We start from the raw sequence: 21792 nt of genomic DNA, 5'->3' as shown, positions 1-21792 counted from the left end.
TTAAAAATCAAAATCATTAACTATAATATTTTTCATAAAATGGTATAAAGAATCTCTATACCAAATTTGTGTTCTGTCTAAAGGTGGGGGAAACGGATTTTTACATTCCACAGAAAATGGGTGTTTTCCTGGAATACTATGCAGCTCTAAAAAGGAAGGAAGTCATGTCCTCTGCAGGGACATGGATGGAACTGGGGGCCATTCTCCTTAGCAAACTAATGCAGGAACAGAAAACCAAATACTGCATGTTCTCACTTATAAGTGGAAGCTAAATGATGAGAATACATGGACACATGGAGGGGGGAACACACACTAGGGCCTGTCAGAGGGCAGCGGGTGGGAGGAAAGAGAGGATCAGGAAAAATAGCTGGTAGATGCTGGGATTAATATCTGGGTAATGGAGTGATCTGTGCAGCAAACTACCATGGCACACATTTACCTATGTAACAAACCTGCACATCCTGTACATGTATCCTTGAACTTAAAATAAAAGTTAAAAAAAAAAGAAAATGGGTGTTTTGTCTTAATAGGCTGATGAGAGTGAATTCAGGGAAAAAAAGCCAGCAATTCAAATAATTTATTACTGACTGTGGTTGAGGTTACTTCTTCCTCAGTATCCTTTCTCCACTTTCTTCTTAGAAATAGAACCTTTGGTTTTTAGCTGGAGACATGGCCATCTTAAGGAAAGACTATATTTTCCAGAATCTTTTGCAGCTAGGTATGGACTCATGACTAAGTTCTGTCCAACAGGATGAGAATAAAAGTGTCCTCCCACCACTTCCTTCTTCCAGCTGGATACAAATTATTTGTTATGCAACTTTATACACTTGCCAAAATTCACAGAACTGTACATTTAAAATTGGTGAATCTTATTCTATGTAAATGTTATCCTAATAAAGCTGATCAAATATTTTTAAAAATTATTTGTGATGGCTAGAGTGGAACAGCTCTTTTCAACTATGAAGCAGAAGTGAATTGTTGAAAACAGCAGAGGTACAACACAGGAGAATATTTCCTGGATAATGGTAGAGCTGCTATACCAGACCTAGAATGCTTATCATCTCATTTCACTTACATGAGAAAGTAAATTTTGTCATGTTTAAATCACTATTACCTTGGGTATTCTGTCTTGTAACAAATCCCAATCCTGATACAGTGAACATCCAACTAATTCAGTTAAGACAAATTAAGTGCTTTGTGTGTTAAAATTTTATAGCTTAAGACTGAGCATAGAAAAACATTTACAGAAAAGCAATTTTAAGATGAATAATCCTTTTAATATTTCTATTACAATCAGAATTTCCACAGTTTTTCTCCAAAATCCTGAACACATCAAAGTTATTCCACCTTCAAATTCTCATTAAGAAAAAAAATTAAAAATTTCTATTCTCCCCCCACCTCAAAAGGCAGCAGAGTGTACAGTTAAGAAATTGGGTGACAAGAATGGCACTATGAGAAGCTCCATGGATCTTCTCCCCAGAAAAACAACCAAACAACCATACTATAAAGCGACACTAGAATTTTGTTTCAAGAAACCTCACAGGAATGTACCAAAAAAAAAAACAAAAGAATTCAGAGATTCTTTGAAAGAAACAGCATGTTGCCGCAAACTCCACAAGACAGGTGAAAAGCTGTGAGTTCCCAAAGTATGAGAGGGGTAAAACCTGCCTCCAAATACACACCTCCACTAGGGAATCTGAAAATCCAGATCATGAGAGAAGTATTTAATCTTACCTATAGCTGGAACAGATTTAGGGAGCCATGTGAAATATAAAAGTACAGACCACAGTGGGAAGAGCCTTGTAGGCACTCCCAGACTCCAGCGCGAACCCAGAGAAACCATTCCTGACCATATCTCTCAGGGGCCCTCAGGGAAAGCAGCAAGCAAAATTAGGGAAGAGTCACAGGTGAAAGAAACTTCCAACTGAATTTTGTGATAATTTCAAGTGGGCATGAACTCCCTTGAGCAGAACCCTGGGGGTTAAGGGGAAGATACAGTGCAGGAGCTGCAGATACAAGTGCAGGAGCTGCCAGCATTGCAAGCAGACAAGTAGGCCTGAAATCTGTACTTGCTTTCTCAGTGGAGAAGTTTATGGCCTGGGGCAGGTCTGAGTTTCATGCATAGGCTGCATGGTTCTAAACTCGGTGCTGTTAGTGGGGCACTGCAGGAGTGAGACTGGCCTCACCAACTGTGTGGGAGCTGGGTGAGACCTTTCGATATCAGCTATCCCTCACTTCCACAGTGAACCATACTGCTCAGCAGAGGCAGCCATACTCCCCTCTAAAACATAACCCTATTGGCTTGAGAACCACCCCTAAACACTCCCTACAGTGGCCATGACAAGCCCTACCCAAGGAGAGTCTGAGCTCAGACTCCTCTAACCATGACCCCACCTAATGGTATTTCTCTAGCCACCCTGGTAGCCGAACACAAAAGACATAAACCCCTGGGAGATTTATGGCCCTGCCCATCAGCTGAGAAACCTGAATTCTTCCCCTGGCCAACTTAAGGCAAGCTCAAATCCCACTGCTATTACCACAGCTGGTGCTCTCTTGAAAGTGCCACCTCCTGGCTGGAGGCCAACTAACTCAGGCCATTACAGCAACTCATGACAGAATAACACTACTCCCAGGAAGAAGAAAACAACAGCTAATACCACTGCCTGCAACATCCTGGCTAATCAGAGGTCCCAAGTCTGTCCATGTGACAACTTCACTGCTAGCATAACCAGCATTTGAGAAAGCAAGCACACTAAACCTATCTACAACCAAAGATTCTCAAAGAGTCTACATCACTCCCCTGCTACCTCCACCAGAGCAGGTGCTGGTATCCACAACTGGGAGACCTGAAGACTGATAACATCACTGGACTCTTTGCAGATATTCCCCAGCACCAGTCTGGAGCCTGGTAGCCCCACTGGATGGCTAGATCCAGAAAAGCAATAACAATCACTGCAGTCCAGATCTCAGGAAGCCCCATGCCTAGGGTAAGGAGGACAGCACCACATCAAGGGATCACCCCATAGTACAAAATAATCTGAACAGCCAGGCGCGGGGGCTCATGCCTGTAATCCCAGCACTTTGGGAGGCTGAGGTGGGCAGATCACGAGGTCAGGAGATCAAGACCAGCCTGGCTAACATGGTGAAACCCCGTCTCTACTAAAAATACAAAAAAAAAAAAAAATAGCTGGACATGGTGATACAGGCCTGAAGTCCCAGCTACTCAGGAGGCTGAGACAGAAGAATCACTTGAACCCAGGAGGCGGAGCTTGCAGTGAGCTGAGATCATGCCACTACACTTCAGCCTCAGCAACAGAGCAAGACTCTGTCTCAAAAAAAAAAAAAAATCTGAACAGCAGGCCTTAAATTCCAGATATTTCTACTGGTGGGTAGTTTCTCATAGTAGAGACACAATTGCGGTGTTGGGTGCAGTAAGAAAAGTCTGTACCTATTCTCCAACAGTAAAGCAGCCTCTATGATTATGAAGGGCCTTGGAGAAGGGGCCCTTGTTCCCCCTGGCATTCCACTGCAGACACAACTGGGGCTTCCTCCACAAAAATGCAGCATGAAGGTACCTATAGACAGCCTTTCTGGAACAGTCCAGGGTAAGTGCAGCCCCACAGAGGCAGCATCCCCCAGATTCACGCCTACATGAGAGGCAGAGTCACAATTCCTCCCTATTTGAAACATCAACATTCCTGTAGCTAAAAAGAGGTGTCTGTCTGATTTGAATCGCTGAAACACTAGGACAAGAGTGAGGCTATGAAGTGAATAGCTTTTCCTGTGACTTGGCAGTGGAGCTGAGGTAGCTCCCATTCTTCACCCTGATAAAACTTCAGCACATCTAACTGAAAGCTCCTCAGCCACCCTCATCAAGGCTGGGACCTCGACCCACCAGTGGGTATTATATCTACCCACCTGCCTTAGACACAACTGGTGCCTACACAGGGATACTGCCCGTATAAGCCTGAAGCCCGAATCATCAACTTAGTAAATAAAACACTGGAAAATAACTAACTAAATAAATAAAATGTACATCATGAAAGAATGAGAAAACCTTCAAGCTATCCCTGCCAATCAGCTCCATAGGAGACGGTGAACTCAGCCACACACCAAGAATGTAACTACTACAAGCAGCATCAGGGAAATCCAGTGCACAAAGACACTGTATAACTAAGGAACACAACAAGAATCTTCACCCCTTCAAGCACCAAGAATCAAATTCGGCTGAAAAAAATATTAAAGTCTGATACTTAAGAGGGGAAAACATTTAAATTAGAAAAAAACACTCCAATCAAAAATAAATAACAATTTGAAGAAATAGTCTACTCAAATAAGAAGAAACCAGGAAAGAAATTCTGATAACATGACAAAACAGAGTTCTGTAAGACACCAAAAAGATCACACTAGCCCACCAGCAATGGATCCAAACAAAGAAGAAATCTCTAAATTGTCAGATAAAGAATTTTGAAAGTTAATTATTAAGCTACTCAAGGAGATATCAGAGAAAGGTTAAACCAACTTAAAAAAAGCTAAGAAAAAAAAACAGGATATGATAAAAAATTTCCAAAGAAATAGATAACATTTTAAAAAATTACAATTTTGGGAAATAAAAGACACATTTAGAAAAATACACAATGCCGGGAAAAGTTTCAACAATAGCCTAGAAAAATTAGAAGAAAGAACTTCAGAGCTTGAAGAAAAAACTTTCAAATTAACCTAATGAGACAAAAAAAAAACAAACAAAAAAATGAACAAAGTCTCCAAGAAATTTGGGATTATGTTAAACAACCAAACCTAAAAATAATTGGTATTCCTGAGAAAGAAGATAAATCTAAAAGTTTAGAAAACTTATTTGAGGGAATAATTGAGGAAAAGTTACCTGGCCTTGCTAGAGATCTAGACATCCAAATACAAGAAGCTCAAAGAACTCCTGGGAAATACATCACAAAAGGATCATCACCTAGGCACATAATCATCAGGTTATATAAAGTCAAGACAAAGTAAAGAATCTTAAGAGCAATCTACAAATTCAATGCAATTCCCATCAAAATACCATAACCACTCTTTGTATAACTAGAAAAAAAACAATTCTAAAATTCATATAGAACCAAAAAAGACCCCACATAGCCAAAGCAATAATAAGCAAAAAGAACAAATCTGGAGGCATCACATTAACTGACTTCAAACTATATTACAAGGCTATAGTTACCAAAAGAGCATGGCACTGGTATAAAAATAGGCACATAGACAAATGGAACAGAATAGAGAACCCAGAAATGAAGCCAAATACTTACAGACAACTGATCTTTGACAAAGCAAACAAAAAGATAAAGTGGGGAAAGGACACCCTATTCAACAAATTAGCAAGCCTCATGTAGAAGAATGAAACTGGATCCTCATCTCTTACCTTATATAAAAATCAACTCGAGAGGGATCAAAGACTTGTATCTAAGAACTGAAATCATAAAAATTCTAGAAGACAAAATCAGAAAAACTCTTCTAGATATTGGATTAGGCAAAGAATTAGTGACCAAGAACCCAAAAGCAAATGCAACAAAAACAAAAATAAATATATGTGGCTAAATTAAAGTAAAAATCTCTGTGCAGCAAAAGAAATCATCAGCAGAGTAAGCAGACAACCCACAGAGTGGGAGAAAATCTTCACAAACTATGCATTTCACAAAGGACTATTATCCAGAATCTACAAGGAATTCAAACAAATCAGCAAGAAAAAAAAATGATCCCATCAAAAAATGGGCTAAGGACATGAAAAGAAAATTATCAAAAAGAGATATACAATTGGCCAACAAACACGAAAAAATTCTCAACATCACTATCAGGGAAATGCAAATTAAAACTACAATGAGATACCACCTCACTACTGCAAGAATGGCCATAACCAAAAAATAAAAAAATAATAGATGTTGGCACGGATATGGTGAAAAGGGAACACTGTTACCCTATTGGTGGGAATGTAAACTAGTGCAACCACTGTGGAAAACAGTGTGGAGATACCTTGAAGAACTAAAAGTAGATCTACCATTCAATCCTGCAATTCCACTACTGGTTATCTGCCCAAAGGGAGAAAAGTCATTATATGAAAATGACACTTGCACACACATGTTTATAGTAGCACAATTCACAATTGCAAAAATACGAAACCAACTGAAATGCCCCATCAACCAACGAGTGGATAAAGAAAATGTGGTATAGCGAGGCGGGTGGATCATGAGGTTAGGAGATCGAGACCATCCCGGCTAACACAGTGAAACCCTGTCTCTACTAAAAAAAATACAAAAAAAATTACCCGGGCATGGTGGCGGGTGCCTGTAGTCCCAGCTACTCGGGAGGCTGAGGCAGGAGAATGGCGTGAACCCAGGAGGCAGAGGTTGCAGTGAGCTGAGATCGCGCCACTGCACTCCAGCCTTGGGCGACAGAGTGAGACTCCATCTCAAAAAAAAAAGAGAAGAAGAAGAAGAAAAGAAAAATATACACTATGGAGTACTACTCAGCTGTAAAAAAAAAAATGAAATAATTGCATTTGCAGCAACTTGGATGGAGTTGGAGACCATTATTTCAAGTGAAATAACTCAGGAATAAAAAACCAAATATTGTATGTTCTCACTTATAAGTGGGATCTAAGCTATGAAGATGCAATGGCGTAAGAATGAGGTAATAAACTTTGGGGACTCAGGAGGAATGGTGGGGAGATACTCAGGGATAAAAGACTATGCACTGGGTAGACTGTTCAAGTGTACACTGTTCAAGTAATGAGTGCACCAAAATCTCAGAAATCATCAGTAAAGAACTTATCCATGTAACTAAAAACCACCAATTACCCCAGAAAGTACTGAAATAAAAACAAAAACAAAAAATCCCCCAAAATTATCTTACAGGTCTGTAAGTCAGAAGTCTGACATGGGTATCATTGAACTAAAATCAATGTATCAGCAGGGTGGTATTGAGGCCCTAAGGGAAAAATCTGTCTCTTTGCCTTCTCTAGCTCTAAAGTCTGCCCACATTCTTTGGTACATCATCTCGTTTATCCGTATTTAAAGCCAATGAATCAAGTCACTTGCCTTGCATTTCCCTTACTCTTATTCCAACATCACATCTTTGTATGATACTCTCTTCTTCTCAATGTGGCTCATGCCTGTAATCCCAGCACTTTGAGAGGCCAAGGCGGGCAAATCACCTGAGGTCAGGACTTGGAGACTAGCCTGGTCTACATGGTGAAACTTGTCTCTACTAAAAAATACAAAATTAGCTGGGCGTGGTGGCACATGCCTATAACCCCAGCTACACGGGAGGCTGAGGCAGGATCCATTGAACCTGGGAGGCGGAGGTTGCAGTGAGCTGAGATCGCACCTGGAGATTGCACTCCATCCTGGGCAACAAGAGTGAAACTCCGTCTCAAAAAAAAAAACCTCTTAAACTCTTTTTAGTAATTATATAGTAGGTGGTAGTGTTAGCATTATTATTCTGAAAATACTATGTGTGCAAAGTGGAATAAAATGGATGAAAAATTTTTTAAAAGCTAAATAAAGACAATGTTACATTAACATAAAGATAGGCATATATAAATCAATAGAACAGAATTGAGAGTCCAGAAATAAAACATTATATTCATGGTAAATGGATTTGCAACAAGGGTGCTACGACAAATCAATGAGGAAAACAACAGAGTTTTCAACGAACAGTGGTGGAAAGACTAGATATGCATGTGCAAAAAAGTGAAGTTGGACTGCTATCTCACGCTGCATATAAAAACTTAAAATGGACCATAAACCTAAATATAACAGCTGAAACTATAAAAAGTCTTAGTAAAAACATAGGAGTAAATCTCCAGTACTTTGAATTAGGAAACGGTTCCTTATATATAACACTCAAAACACAAGCAACCAAAGAAAATATAGACAAATATTACTTAATTAGAATTTAAAACCACTGTGCATCAAAGAGCATTATCAAAAAAGAGAAAAGACAAAAAATGGAAGAAAATATTTGTAGATTATATGCCTGATAAGGGACTTGTATCTAGAATATACAAAGAATTCTTATAACACAATAATAAAAGATTAACAACCCAATGTGAAAATAAACAAAGTAGTCCGGCGCAGTGGCTCATGCCTGTAATCCCAGCACTTTGGGAGGCCGAGGCGGGCGGATCACGAGGTCAGGAGATCGAGACCATCCCGGCTAACACAGTGAAACCCCGTCTCTACTAAAAATACAAAAAATTAGCCGGGCGTAGTGGCGGGCGCCTGTAGTCCCAGCTACTTGGGAGGCTGAGGCAGGAGAATGGCGTGAACCCGGGAGGCGGAGCTTGCAGTGAGCCGAGATCCCGCCACTGCACTCCAGCCTGGGCGACAGAGCGAGACTCCGTCTCAAAAAAAAAAAAAAAAAAAAAAAAAAACAAAAACAAAAACACAAAAAATTAGCCGGGCGTAATGGCGGCAGCCCGTAGTCCCAGCTACTCCAGAAGCTGAGGCAGGAGAATGGTGTGAACCTGGGAGGCGGAGCTTACAGTGAGCCGACATCACGCCACTGCACTTCAGCTTGGGCGACAGAGTGAGACTCTGTCTCAAAAAAAAAACAAAAACAAACAAAACACTCTTTCAGGCCTGCCCTACAGGAACAATATTGGTAAGCAGCTAAGGAACTTGCCAGAAAACCAAGTATTTAAGTCTTCTTCTCACTTCTACAAGTAACCTTCTATAGCAGTGGTTCTCTGCACTCCAGCCTGGGCAACAGAGCAAGATTCTGTCTCAAAAAAACAAAAAAGAAAGAAAATAGACAAAGTATTGAATAAGTATTTCTCCAAAGAATATACACAAGTCACAAATAAGCACATGAAAAGATGCTCATCATCAGTAGTCATTAGGGAAATATAAATCAAAACCACTTCACATCTACTAGAAATGGTTATAATAAAAAAGGCAGATAACAACAGTTGACAAAAATGTGAGGGAAATTAGGACTCTTATATATGGCAGTTGAATATATAAAATGGCACGGTTACTTTGTAAAGCAGTTTAGAAGTTTCTGAAAATGTTAAATATTAAGTGAGCACATACACCAGCAATTCTACTCCTAAGTATGGAAGGGAATGAAAACATATGTCCACATAAAAACTTGTATACAAATATTCACAGCAGCATTATTCATGATAGCAAAAGGTAGACACAATCCAAATGTCCATCAACTGATGAATGGATAAACAAAGGTATATAGTTAGAATGGAATATTATTCAGCCACAAAAAGGAATGGAGTACTGATACATATTATAACATGAATGAGATTTAAACAATTATTATATATGAAAGAAATGAGTCACAAAAGACTATGTATTATATGATTAAATTTATTTACAATGCCTATAAAGAAGGAAAGTATATTCTATAGAGAAGGAAAGTATATTAGTGTTTGACTAGGGCTGTAGAGGTTGGAGGAAAAAGGGGAGTAAATGTTTATGGATATGGGTTTTATGGGGGAGGTGAAGACAATGTTCTAAAATTGATTATGTGTCCCTCCAAAATTCATATGTTGGAAACTTAATCCCCAATGCAGCAATGTTGGGAGGTGAGGCCTAATGAGAGGCATCATGAATAAATCAATGCCACTAAAAAAAAGTTTCTGCGAGACTAGTTTCATTCTCTCTTGCCCTTTCACCTTTTACTGTGTGAGGGTGCAGCAAGAAAGACCTCACCATATGCAGCTCTCTTGATCTTGGACTTCCCAGCCTCCAGAATGTGAGAAATAAATTTCTGTTCCTTAGAAATTATGCATTCTATCGTATTCTGTTATATCAGCATAAAACAGACTAAAACAATTGTGGTGATGGTTGCATGACTCTGTAAATATACTATAAACCAGTGAATTGTACAATTAAAAAGAAAAAAATTGTAGTAGCCAGTCATATTAGTATCACTCCATAGAAAAAATTGGCTTAATTTGCAATGCTGTACAACATGTGCTTAAAATTGGGTAAAAAAGGACAGTAACTTAAAAATGCATGTAGTGTTATTCCACTTTTGTTTTAAAATAGGACATGCAAAAAATTATATATATAAATATTCACAAACTGCTCATTTGGGGGTAAATGAACTTCCTTCCCACATTCAGGTTTTAATATTTTTTTAATAAAAATATATAACTTTCATATTCTAAAAATAATAAATATATATGTATATGTGTGTATGTATATGTATATATGTAATATATATACATATATTATATTACATATGTATATTATGTATATATTACATATGTATATTACATATATATTACAATATATTACATATGTATATATGTAATATATATACATATATTATATATGTAATATATATACATATATTATATATGTGTGTGTATATATATATATATAAAAGGAAAAAAGAGAGAGAATAGGTGCCCACATTTGAGAAGTCTGGTTTGGAGGATAATGGCAGGGAAGATGGCAGAGTATGAAGAACTTAAGAGATTTGTGGGACACCACTTAGTGGATGAACATATGCATTGTGGGAATCCTAAAATAAGAAAGAGGAAATATGAATATTGGAAAAAATAATGGCTGAAAACTTCCAAAATTTAAAGAAAAACATGAATCTAAATATCCAAATTCTCAACATGATGAAGAGTATCATGAAAAACCCACAGTTAACATCATCCTAAATGGTGAAAGACTGAAAGAATTATCTCTACAATCAGAAACAAAACAAGGATGCCTGCTTTTACCACTGCTATTCAAAATAGTGTTGAAAGTTCTAGACAGAACTATTACACAAGAAAAAGATACGAAAGTATCCAAATTGGAAAGGAAAAAGTAAAACAATGTCTATTCACAGATGACATAATTAAATATATAGAAAATCCCGAAGAATCCACATATAAAAAAGCTACCGCAAGCTAATAAATTCAATATAGTTACAGGGAACAATATGAACATAGAAAAATCAATCATGTTTCTATACAGCAGCAATGAATAATCCAAAAAGAAAATTGGAAAGCATGTCTATTTACAGTAGCATCTTAAAAATTAAAATACTTAGGAATAAATCTAATCAAGAAAGCGAAAGTCTTATTCAATGAAAACTACAAAATAATGCTGAAAAAAATGAAGATTTTATTTTTAAGTCTTTAAATTCCATTACAGAAATAGACATGCGTGTTCATGAATAGGAAGACTTGACATTTGTAAGACACTAGTACTATCCAAAGTGATATACAGATTCACTTAAATCTCTATGAAAATCTCAAGAATATTTTTTGCAGAAGTGGAAAAGCTTATCCTCAAATTCACATCAAATTTCAAGGGGGCCTGAATAACCAAAAAATATCTTGAAAAAGACCAAAGATGGGGGCCTCACAATTCTCGACTTCTAAACTTACTACAAAGCTACAATAATTAAAACACTATGTTACTGGCATGAGGGCAGGCATACAGATCAATAGAATAGAACAGAGAGTCCAAAAATAAACAGTCACATCTCTGATCAGTTAATTTTTGGGAGGATACAGGGTCTTGCATAGCTGCTTAGTCTAGAGTGCAACATGGCTCACTGCAGCTTCAACCTCCCAGGCTCAAGCAATCCTCCCTCTCAGCCTCCCAAAATGCTGGGATTACAGCTGTGAGCTACCACATCTGGTTTTAATTGATTTTTTAAAGGGATACCAAGATCATTCAATGGGGAAAGGATAGTATTTTCAATAAATAGTGCTGGGAACACTGGACATCCACATGCCAAAAAATGAGTTGGACATTACACCATATACAAAAATTAACTCAAAATGGATCAGAGACCCAAACTTAACAGCTAAACCTATAAAATTCTTAGAATAAAACATTAGAGAAAATCTTCATGACATTGGATTTGGTAACAGCTTCATAGATCTGACACCAAAAGCACAAGCAAAAAAAGAAAAAAATAGATAAATTAAAACTTTTATCCATGAAAACACACTATCAAGAGAACTAAATCTACTAATTTACTAGAAAATATATGCAAATCATATATTTGCTAAGGGATTAATATCCAGAATATAAGGAATTCCTAAAAATCAACAACAACAAAAAAACTGATTAAAAAGTGGACAAAGAACTTGAAGACATCTTTCCAAAGAAAGTATACAAACAGTCAATAGTTACATGAAACCACGCTCAACATCATTAGTCATCAGGAAAATAGAAAGCAAAACCACAACAAAATACCACTTTACCTCCACTCCCAGGATGGCCATAATTTTAAATTTTTAAATTAATGTGGGTTAGGGTATGGGGAAATTAATCCTTACACTTGCTAGTGAGAATGTAAAATGGTGCAACCACTTTGAAAAAAAGTTTGGTAGTTTTTCAAAGGTTAAACATAGAACTATTATATGATCCTACAATTCCACTCCTAGGTATATAGCCAAAAGAATTGAAAGCAGGTACTGAAACAGATATGTGTACCCCAGTGTTCGTTATTTACAATATCCAAAAGGCGGAAACAACCTAAGTGTCTAACAACAGACAAATGGATAAACAAAATATGATACATACAATGGAATATTATTCAGCCATAAGAAAGAATAGTATTTTAATATATGCTATAACATGTATAGATCTTGCAATTATTATGCTTAGTGAAATAAGTGATACACAGAAGGACAATATTTTGTCATTCTACTTGCATGAAATACCTAGAATATGCAGATTAATAGGGACAGAAAGTGTGAGACAGGTTATCAGTATCTGAGGGAAGGTGGAAAGGAAGAGTTATTTAATGAGTACAGAGGTTTTGTTGGAAATGATGAAAAAGTCTGGGGTTTAGATAGTGGTGACAGCTATACGTCATGAATATATTTAATGGCACTGAATTGTACACTTATGAATGGTTAAAATAATATTGTTACATATATTTTACCACAATATAAAAAAGAACTCTGGGTTTGAATTTTGGCTCCACCACTAACTATATGACTTTAAATGAGTCATTCAATCTTTTGGCACCTCTCATAAAAGTATCAAGGTAGTCAAGTTCTCTAAACATTAATTTCATCATCTATAAAATGAAAATATTGACAGTGTCTATTTCTGAATCATAATTGTAAAAATTAAACTCGCTGTATGTAAGGAACATAGTAAAATATCTGGAACAGATAATTCCTCAATAAAAGTTAGGTACTTGTGTGAGGAGTATTATTTCTTACAGTAAAAAATAATGCATTATTTACAAGGAATATCAAATAATGCTGTCTCAGCATGTATTCTTCTATGAAATACTATATATCAGGTATAAGTAAAGTTTTTCTGTAAATAGCTAGATATAAGTAAATATTTTAGGTTTCACAGGTCATACAGTCTCTGTTAGAACTACTTAACTCTACCATTGTAGCATGAAATTAGCCACAGACAATACAGAAATGAATGGGTAACTGTGGTCCAATAAAACTTTATTCAAAAACAGGTGGCACCCAGGATTGATTCACAGACTGTAGTTTGCTAACTCAATGCTAAACATATGGTTTTCATTAAAAAACTAACACATTTTTTAAAAATCAGACATACTTTTGTTTCCTTCTAAATGGATTGCTTTGAAGAATCCTATCTCCCCCTTAAAACAAATGGTTAACTTTAGAGAATTTAATGATTGCTTTTTCCCTGCTAAACACATAAGCTGATGCTTTACCAGATATGCCCAAAAGGCCAGATGCGAATTTTGAAAACTACACCTAGATCCCTTGGTCACATTTTGCTGGGATCTGCCTATCTATAGAAATAATATTTACTTCTTCCACTGTATTGCTATGGAAATTATTATCTGTGAAATGCTTGAAAGATGTAAAACTTAAGTATTACTACATAGTTCTGCAGCCAGGATCCTTTATTATACTTTTTTGTCAGTACATAATTAAGTAAAATGCAATACATTTAATCTCATTTAGTTATTTCTCTTTTGTTGTATCAGTGTATTAATATTTGTAAATGGCCATGAAAACAAAAATGGAAACCTGAATTCCCTTACAATTATAAAGGCAGACAACTAAGGATTCAGCCTTGACCCACAATTACCAAAGGTAACCACTAAAATGTATGATTCCAGTAAAGAAGTGTCTTTCTACAGTTTTACTAAAGGATTCCCCTCAAGAATTCCCCTGTAAACCAGATCTAAAACACACTCCTTCCTCTAGCACATCCTACTCAGAAACTCTGCACTATATTTTTAAACACAAAATGCTTCATGAATCTGAACTGACTGAATTAAAATCAGAATCCCTATAGTATTTCTCAGAAATCCATAATACACCAAAAGCTACCTCACCTGCCATTTCTCATTTAGGGGAAAACAGTATCTCCTTCATTAGTATAGTGCTGAGTATCCCCACCTGCCATTAAGGGGGAAACAGACAAGCTGTACTGTTCACATCGCTGAGGGAAGACAGCCTCTCCCAGGAAACTTTGTCCCTCTTTTCTCCACAGCCCCTTGGCATTTGTGACTATAGTCTGAAATAAAGTTTAAACCCTATTACAATAAATTGAGGAGCTGTCCAGAGTTTGTGTGTGTTGATCTGCTCCACTTCAAGCTGTTTAATAGATAAAAAACAAACACACAAACAACTCAAGGCCGGGCGCGGTGGCTCATACCTATAATCCTAGCATTTTGGGAGTCCAAGGCAGGCGGATTGCCTAAGCTCAGGAGTTTGAGACCAGATTGGCTAACACGGTGAAACCCCGTCTCTACTAAAATACAAACAAATAGCCGGGCATGGTGGCAGGTGCCTGTCATATCAGCTACTCGGGAGGCTGAGGCAGGAGAATTGCTTGAACCCGGGAAGCGGATGTTGCAGCGAGCTGAGATCGCGCCACTGCACTGCACTCCAGCCTGGGCAACCGAGTGAGTCTCCATCTCAAAAAAAAAAAAACAAAAAAAAAAAAACTGGGGTATGCTTGCTTTGTTTTAAAAGAGATCAATCACAGGATTTTTATAATAGCTCCATAAGCACACGTTAAAAATAATTCATTTGAGAAAAAAAAAAAATTGGTATTCACCAGTTAACTTCTCAGGAACATTTCTACTGTGTCAGTCTAAATTTATCTGGTAACTGAGATACATCACAGATTGTACAAAAATTAGGACATTGGCTAGCACTGGGGAGACTCTGAGTATTCTCATGGTATTTCCTGCAGAAGGACATGACTTCTTAGTGAAATTGATTCCTGTTTCCAACACCCTGAAATGATGTTTATCTTTGAGTAATTATTGAACCTTTATACAGTAGAACTTGCACACCTACCGAGAAATTCTGTCGTACCTGTGTGGAGATTTTCTCTTGTGTATTGACAGAGCACGGTGATTTTTTTAAAAAAGACTTAAAATGTTTCCTGTTCCTCCTATTAGATTATAATGCCCCAAAACAACCATCTTGACTCCTGTCTCTTCTAGGCATCAACCACCACTTAATAAACAGTCTCTATTAGAGGACTTTATTGTAGAAGACGGTCAAGTGGGGAACAATAACCCCAACACTGAGGTGGTTGCTGACACCAAAATGAAGTCCTAAGGCTTAACATGATCCTCGCGTGGTAAATTTGGCAGAGCAAGGGCAAAAGGCTTTGGATTTCATCCCTTGTGTTCTATTTCCTTGTTGAGTGGCCTTGGAAAATTTATTTAAGCTCTCTGAATCTCAGATTTCTCGTCTGTATAAGCAGGATAATATATACCAGCTACCACCCAGGGCAGGTATAAAGTAAGCACTGATCCAGGTGGGTCTCAATACGTAGTAGTTATTCTTATTCCAATGTTTTGAAAATATTTTTACCAAAAGAGAGAGGAAAAAAAAAGAATTTACATGTCCTAAAAATCCTCCTAATCCACCAAAAGAGAGAGAGAAAAAAAGAATTTACATGTCCTAAAAATCCTCCTAATCAGAACCTTTCATGCTTTCCTTCTTCCTACATACCAGCATTCAGGTTAATAGAGGTTTCCTTATGAAAAGTGCAGAAAAGAATGAAAGTAGTTGAGAAGCAGCTGGCTTCTCTCAACTGACTGACTTAGGTAAAAAATGCAATACCATTTTTTTGCAGCGGTTATAACAATTCCCCTATTTTCCCATCCTCGGTTTGCAAACAGTGATTTAAAAAAATACAGTTATCTTTCCTTTAATGCAGCTCTCTATGGATTCTTTAGTTATTTCTCGTGTATTCAAGAGAGGCTGGGCCAATCAGATATTAGATGGGCTCTAAGCTTCTTCCCTGACTTGATCCTGGCTCCTTAGCTCGCAGACTAGACAGTAGTCAGAGCAACAAAAGGTGTTAACTCCAAATAGAAAAATGTGAACTTTTGTTTAACAGCACCAAGTAAGGTTTATAGTTAGATTGAACCCTCAATAAAATGGAGCCTGCTTTGAAAGATTAATTTATCTTTGTTATCCATCCCTCATGTTAGTCAAAACATGATGACACATCTCTTCTTCCTGTCTAACACGAGTCTAGAGAAACATAATATTTAACCATGCTTATGAAATAAGAAAATAACAGAAAACTGAGGATAGGGTGGGGAGGAGGTAGCTTGGTTCCTAATATAATCTGCATTATATTAAGCAGTCCTCAACCAAGAAATGATTATATACTTCTAAGAATACTTCTTAAATTCTTTAAAAATCTCACTAGGTTTGAATCTGACACACCAGATACCATCGCTTTCCAAGTATTTCATCAGTGTTTTTCATCTGTCATGGGACACTGACATTTGATGAATTTTAAATGAGAGACTATATGGTACTACCAGCAGACAGCAGATAAAATAGCATCTTTTACCCCAACTCTGTCTCAGCATTGTCTTGAAAAAAATATTTGAAGAGCTCTTACTGAAGTTTGCTTTCCTCATAGAAACAAGAGAGTTCTTTATTTAACAAACCTATGCTTCTCAATATAGTGATAATACCTTTTGCCTGAGTCTGAAAGGGCAAAATAGGAAAATACCTAGAAGTGATTTTAGACTACACACCAAGGTTCACCCTGTGATTTTTAAAGGTTCAAATTTTGTTCCAATTTCTGCATTACAAGATTCTGTCATCTTATAATCCTCTCTGTCTTCATTTTAGAGTAATTTCTCAGGAAAAATGTTGCATACTAGGAAGCTTATTCAACCAGCCAAGAGAATAAGATAGATGTTTTCCCTTCTCTTGATGAGGAGATGTGGAATTTTAGTGTTCTGACAGGTCTAATGGTTGAGTCTCTTGGGTTTTTCAGGTTAAATCAGAAGGCAAAGTAGCACATATAAGAGGGCCACCTGAAGGAGGGCATTAAGTCACTGATGATAGAAACAGCTATGGTGAAAAGCTAGAGGTTTTCTAAGGAGTAGGGATCCAAAGCTCAAATAAGTCAGACCTGAGACATAGTAAGTATTCAGTAAGTGGTGTGTGTACAGAAGAGACCACTCACTACTAGAGCCAAGTTTTAACAATTTGAAAGAACACATTTAATATTAATAAAAACTAAGAAAATATATATATGAAGACTTGCTTGATAGCCATCGCTCAAAAAATTTTATTTCCCCAAGTGTATTTTAGTCACAATTTTAAAAATTGTAAGAAATTTTGTGTCATTAAAAAGCTCCTTATTCTCTTCTGGATATTTTGAAATATACAATAGTCAATCATTACACATTGCATAAATGTATCAAAATGTCACATGTACTCCAAAAATATGTACATCTATTGTGTATCAATAAAAACTTTTTGAGAGAAAAACCTTTATGAAAACCCTCCCTTATAATCAGCCAAAATTTGCTATCTTTATAACTTTTACATATGGGGTTACATATGAATCCTAGCTCAGTCCTTCAGTCCAAAGAAAGCAAGCCCACTTCCACCTCCTCATGACAAACATTTTGATGCTTAAATATTTAAAGACAGTTATCTCATCTCCATAAGCCTTCTCACTGTAGGTGAAACAACCTTACTCTTTCAACCATTTTTCTGTATGACATGGTTTTTAGAGATTATTTATCAGACACGTTGATTTTGTTCCATAAGGAGTTCTGAAAACATTAAGGTCCATATTATTAAGAGCTTCTTATGTTAATAAATAGAATATTTTAAATAAAAGACGTATGTATCAGAAATTTCTCAAAGAACTTAAAACAGAGCTACCATTCAACCCAACAATCCTATTACTGGGTATATACCCAAAGAAAAATAGATCATTCTTATCAAAAAGACACATGCACTTGTATATGTATCGCTGCACTATTCACAATAGCAAAGAAACGGAATCAACCCAGGTGCCCATCAATGGTAGATTGGATAAAGAAAATGCAGTATATATGTACCATGCAATACCATGTAATTATTAAAAAAATGGAATAATGTCTTTTGCAGCAACATGGATGGAACTGGAGGCCATAATCCTAAGCAAATTAATGCAGGAACAGAAAACCAAATACCACACGTTCTCACTTAGAAGTGGGAGCTAAATATTTAGCACACATGGACATAAATATGGGACCAATAGACACTGTGGACTACTGGAGAGTGGAGGGAGGAGGGGTGAGTTAAAAAAAAACTACTTACCAGATATTATGCTCACTACCCGGGTGGTGGGATCCATACTCCAAACCTCAGCATCACGCAATCTTCCCATGTAACAAACCTGCACATGTATCCCTGTATCTAAAATAAAAGTTGAAATTAAAAAAAGACATATGTAGGCATTTTGATATCTGCTTGAAGCTTTATGAATCACATGACTTACAACTGTCTTCTACCACCTGATGGTGAGAAGTGTTTGAAAATTACAGGTCAGTTACTAAAAAGTAAATAAAATGTTGGAACAATTAAAAATATAGAAATGTTGAAAAAATCAAAACTACAATCTCAGGCTGACACCTTTCTGACATCACCCAACCTTTGCACAGGTTTGTGCCCTAAATTTCCAATATAAATATAAGTGGTTTTCAAACTTACCAAAATGCCCGGGCAACCCTTTCTTCAGTTAGATTCAATATACTGTACTAGTTAAGGGCACTGTCTGAGCTCAAATCCCAGTTTTACCACTTCCTAGCTGTGCAATCTTGAACAAGTTACTTAACCTCTCTGTGTTTTAACTTATGGAAAATGAGGATAAGAACATCTACCCCACAGGTTTTTTGAGAATTAAAGGATATAGGCCAGGCGCGGTGGCTCATGCCTATAATCCTGGCACTTTGGGAGGCCGAGGCGGGTGGATCACCTGAGGTTAAGAGTTCGAGACCAGCCTGACCAACATGGAGAAACCCCATCTCTACTAAAAATACAAAATTAGCCAGGTGTGGTGGCACATGCCTGTAATCCCAGCTACTCGGGAGGCTGAGGCAGGAGAATTGCTTGAACCCGGGAGGCGGAGGTTGCGGTGAGCCAAGATTGTGCCATTGCACTCCAGCGTGGGCAACAAGAGTGAAACTCTGTCGCAAAAAAAAGAAAAGAAAAAAGACAAAAAAGAATTAAAGGAGATAATATGAGGTGTTGAGAACAATATCTGGCATAAAGTTAAGTATTATGTAGGTGCTTGCTATTATTATCATTCAAATAAAAAATTTACCAGGAAATTGAATGTATGCATAAAAGAGAAAAAAGTGGCCCTGCTCTATTTGAAGAAAACGTGCTATAGTCCAAACTACACCACAACCCAACCCACCCCATCCCTGCAATCTGCACTAAATGATTTTACGTCTTGGGGTTAAAGAATCATGTCAACAGAAATTCTAGTCAAGAATAAATCATCTACTACTAATATCACAGAATGAGTTAATTTATCCTGGAAGGGTCAGTCACCTTGGAAGGTAGAGAGTGGGGCTCTAATATTAAAAAAAAAAAAAAACTGAACAAGTTGTTACACACACACACACACACACACACACACACACACACACACACGGATAAAAGGAAGAATCCATCTGGAGCATGGTCGAACAGCCAGTCAGAACAGGTCTGCAGAGAAGCACTGTAGGGAAATAATGCTGCAGCTGAGAATGATGATAGATAACGATCGTTGAGGGGTTACAATATGTTAAACAAAAGTTGTTTATATGTGTTTACTTGTCAAGACTCACAACAAATCTATGGGGTAAATGTTTTTATCATCCTTTATCAGCCCATTTTATAGATGTGGATAATAGGCACAGAGTGACTAAATAACTTGCCCAAAGTTATGTAGCTGGCAAATGGCCGAACTGAAATTCAAACACTGACACTATTAGTCACACACAAACCCAACATCAGTTGATATCCTGAAGGAGACCAAGGCAGGGCGAGACACAAATCACTGAGAACACCCAATTGTGCTCAGTACTACTCTGGTCTTATGTAACAAAGTCATCATACATGTGCGAACTCTGGAACCAGACAGATCTATGTTCAAATTCTTGTTCCACTGCGTACAAGCTGGGGCTGTGTGATCTTGAGCAAGACACTGAATTACTCTGGGCCCCAAGTTGCTCAATGTTGTCTTGAGAAGTAGACATCGTGGGTACAAATCACCTAGCACCTTTTCACATAGCAAGCTTTCAACAAACAATATTATTGTTGATACTTTAATAGTTCAAATTGTGGTATCCATTACCTACCTCCCATCCCAATTTAGAAATTAACATCATCCCCATAGCACAGAAAAGGACACAAATAGACTAAGTAATTTACACAGAACTGACAGCAGGTCAGCCCAGGGCAGGAAGTCAAATCCAAAATTTCCCAGTGTCCAATTTAATCATTTGCAACTTTCAGCTACCTCTGCCAAATTCTCAAATTGTTCCTCTTCCTAAGTCTGTCTTTCTCACCCAAAGAAGAACGTGAGCACTTGTAACCAATGTCAGATTAAGATTAGAAAGATTTTCTGAGTGACAGGACAATCCTCTTGCATTTTCTGGGGGAGATTGGTTCCTGCCAACCAACTGGCAGGAAAAAAAAGGTGACAGCAAGCCGCATAAGTACAAGTATCAGTGGGTGGAGAATGTCAGAAACAAAGAAAACTCTTTAAAATGTTAAATGCAAACTCATTTACTGGTGGCCATAGATAAGATGGCAGAGTTTACTATTGACAGGGACTGTGACAGTGATGAATGAAACCATTCTGGAACTGTGAAGGAAAGTGGCCTGCTGTGAAGGGGGGAAGACATCTGAAGAGGAGCGGGAGGATGCTGTAGGCGGAGGAACAGGAAGAGAACCAGAACTAGTTATGTGTGGGCTGAGGCATTTTCAGTGGCAGAACAAAAAATATAGAAATAATGTTGCTTCTGGTACTTAAAAACCCCCAGGCAGGCATCAATTCCCACCCACCCCTAGTCCCCCACACTAAAATCAGGGACACTATGGCTTCAAAGGGAGAATGAGGGGGAAGGGATAAATGGGTAAGATGCATTTCTACAAATGAAATTAAAGAAAGTCAGTTATCAAATTCCAAAAGGAAGAAAAGGATCCCAAGACAGGGCCAGTATAATGGATGATGTAATCTGCGAACACACAAACGACTATCTCTCAGCACTTAAGGACTATTATAGAAGGACTAGAGGAGTTGGAAAGTCATTGTTCTGAGTTCTTTTCACTTCTCAGTTAAAAGACAACGTGCTGCCAGAAATAAACCAAGTCTGAGTCATAGGTGAAATTGAAAGAAAGTGTTGAAATGAACGGTGAGTTATGGAAATGGGTTTATTTCTCATAAATGAAAATAAAGAATTTTGGTTCACCACATTTCTTTAAAAACTATTGGGGAGAAAGAGAACTCTGCACACTACTTTTTTCAATATTTGACTATTTTAGTGAATATAACCATG

General features: G+C 37.4%; 1 annotated feature.

Moving 5' to 3' along the window:
- Positions 21092-21341: an enhancer, noted in NCBI's record as "active region_29907". NCBI's record gives its function as "activates an Ori minimal core promoter by ATAC-STARR-seq in GM12878 lymphoblastoid cells {active_cell/tissue: GM12878}" and the evidence as "EXISTENCE:reporter gene assay evidence [ECO:0000049][PMID:35858748]".

Source organism: Homo sapiens, chromosome X (genome assembly GCF_000001405.40).
Source record: "Homo sapiens chromosome X, GRCh38.p14 Primary Assembly".
Taxonomy (NCBI): domain Eukaryota; kingdom Metazoa; phylum Chordata; class Mammalia; order Primates; family Hominidae; genus Homo; species Homo sapiens.
Note: the sequence above shows the minus strand (reverse complement) of the source record. Positions and strands in the feature narration are given on the sequence as shown.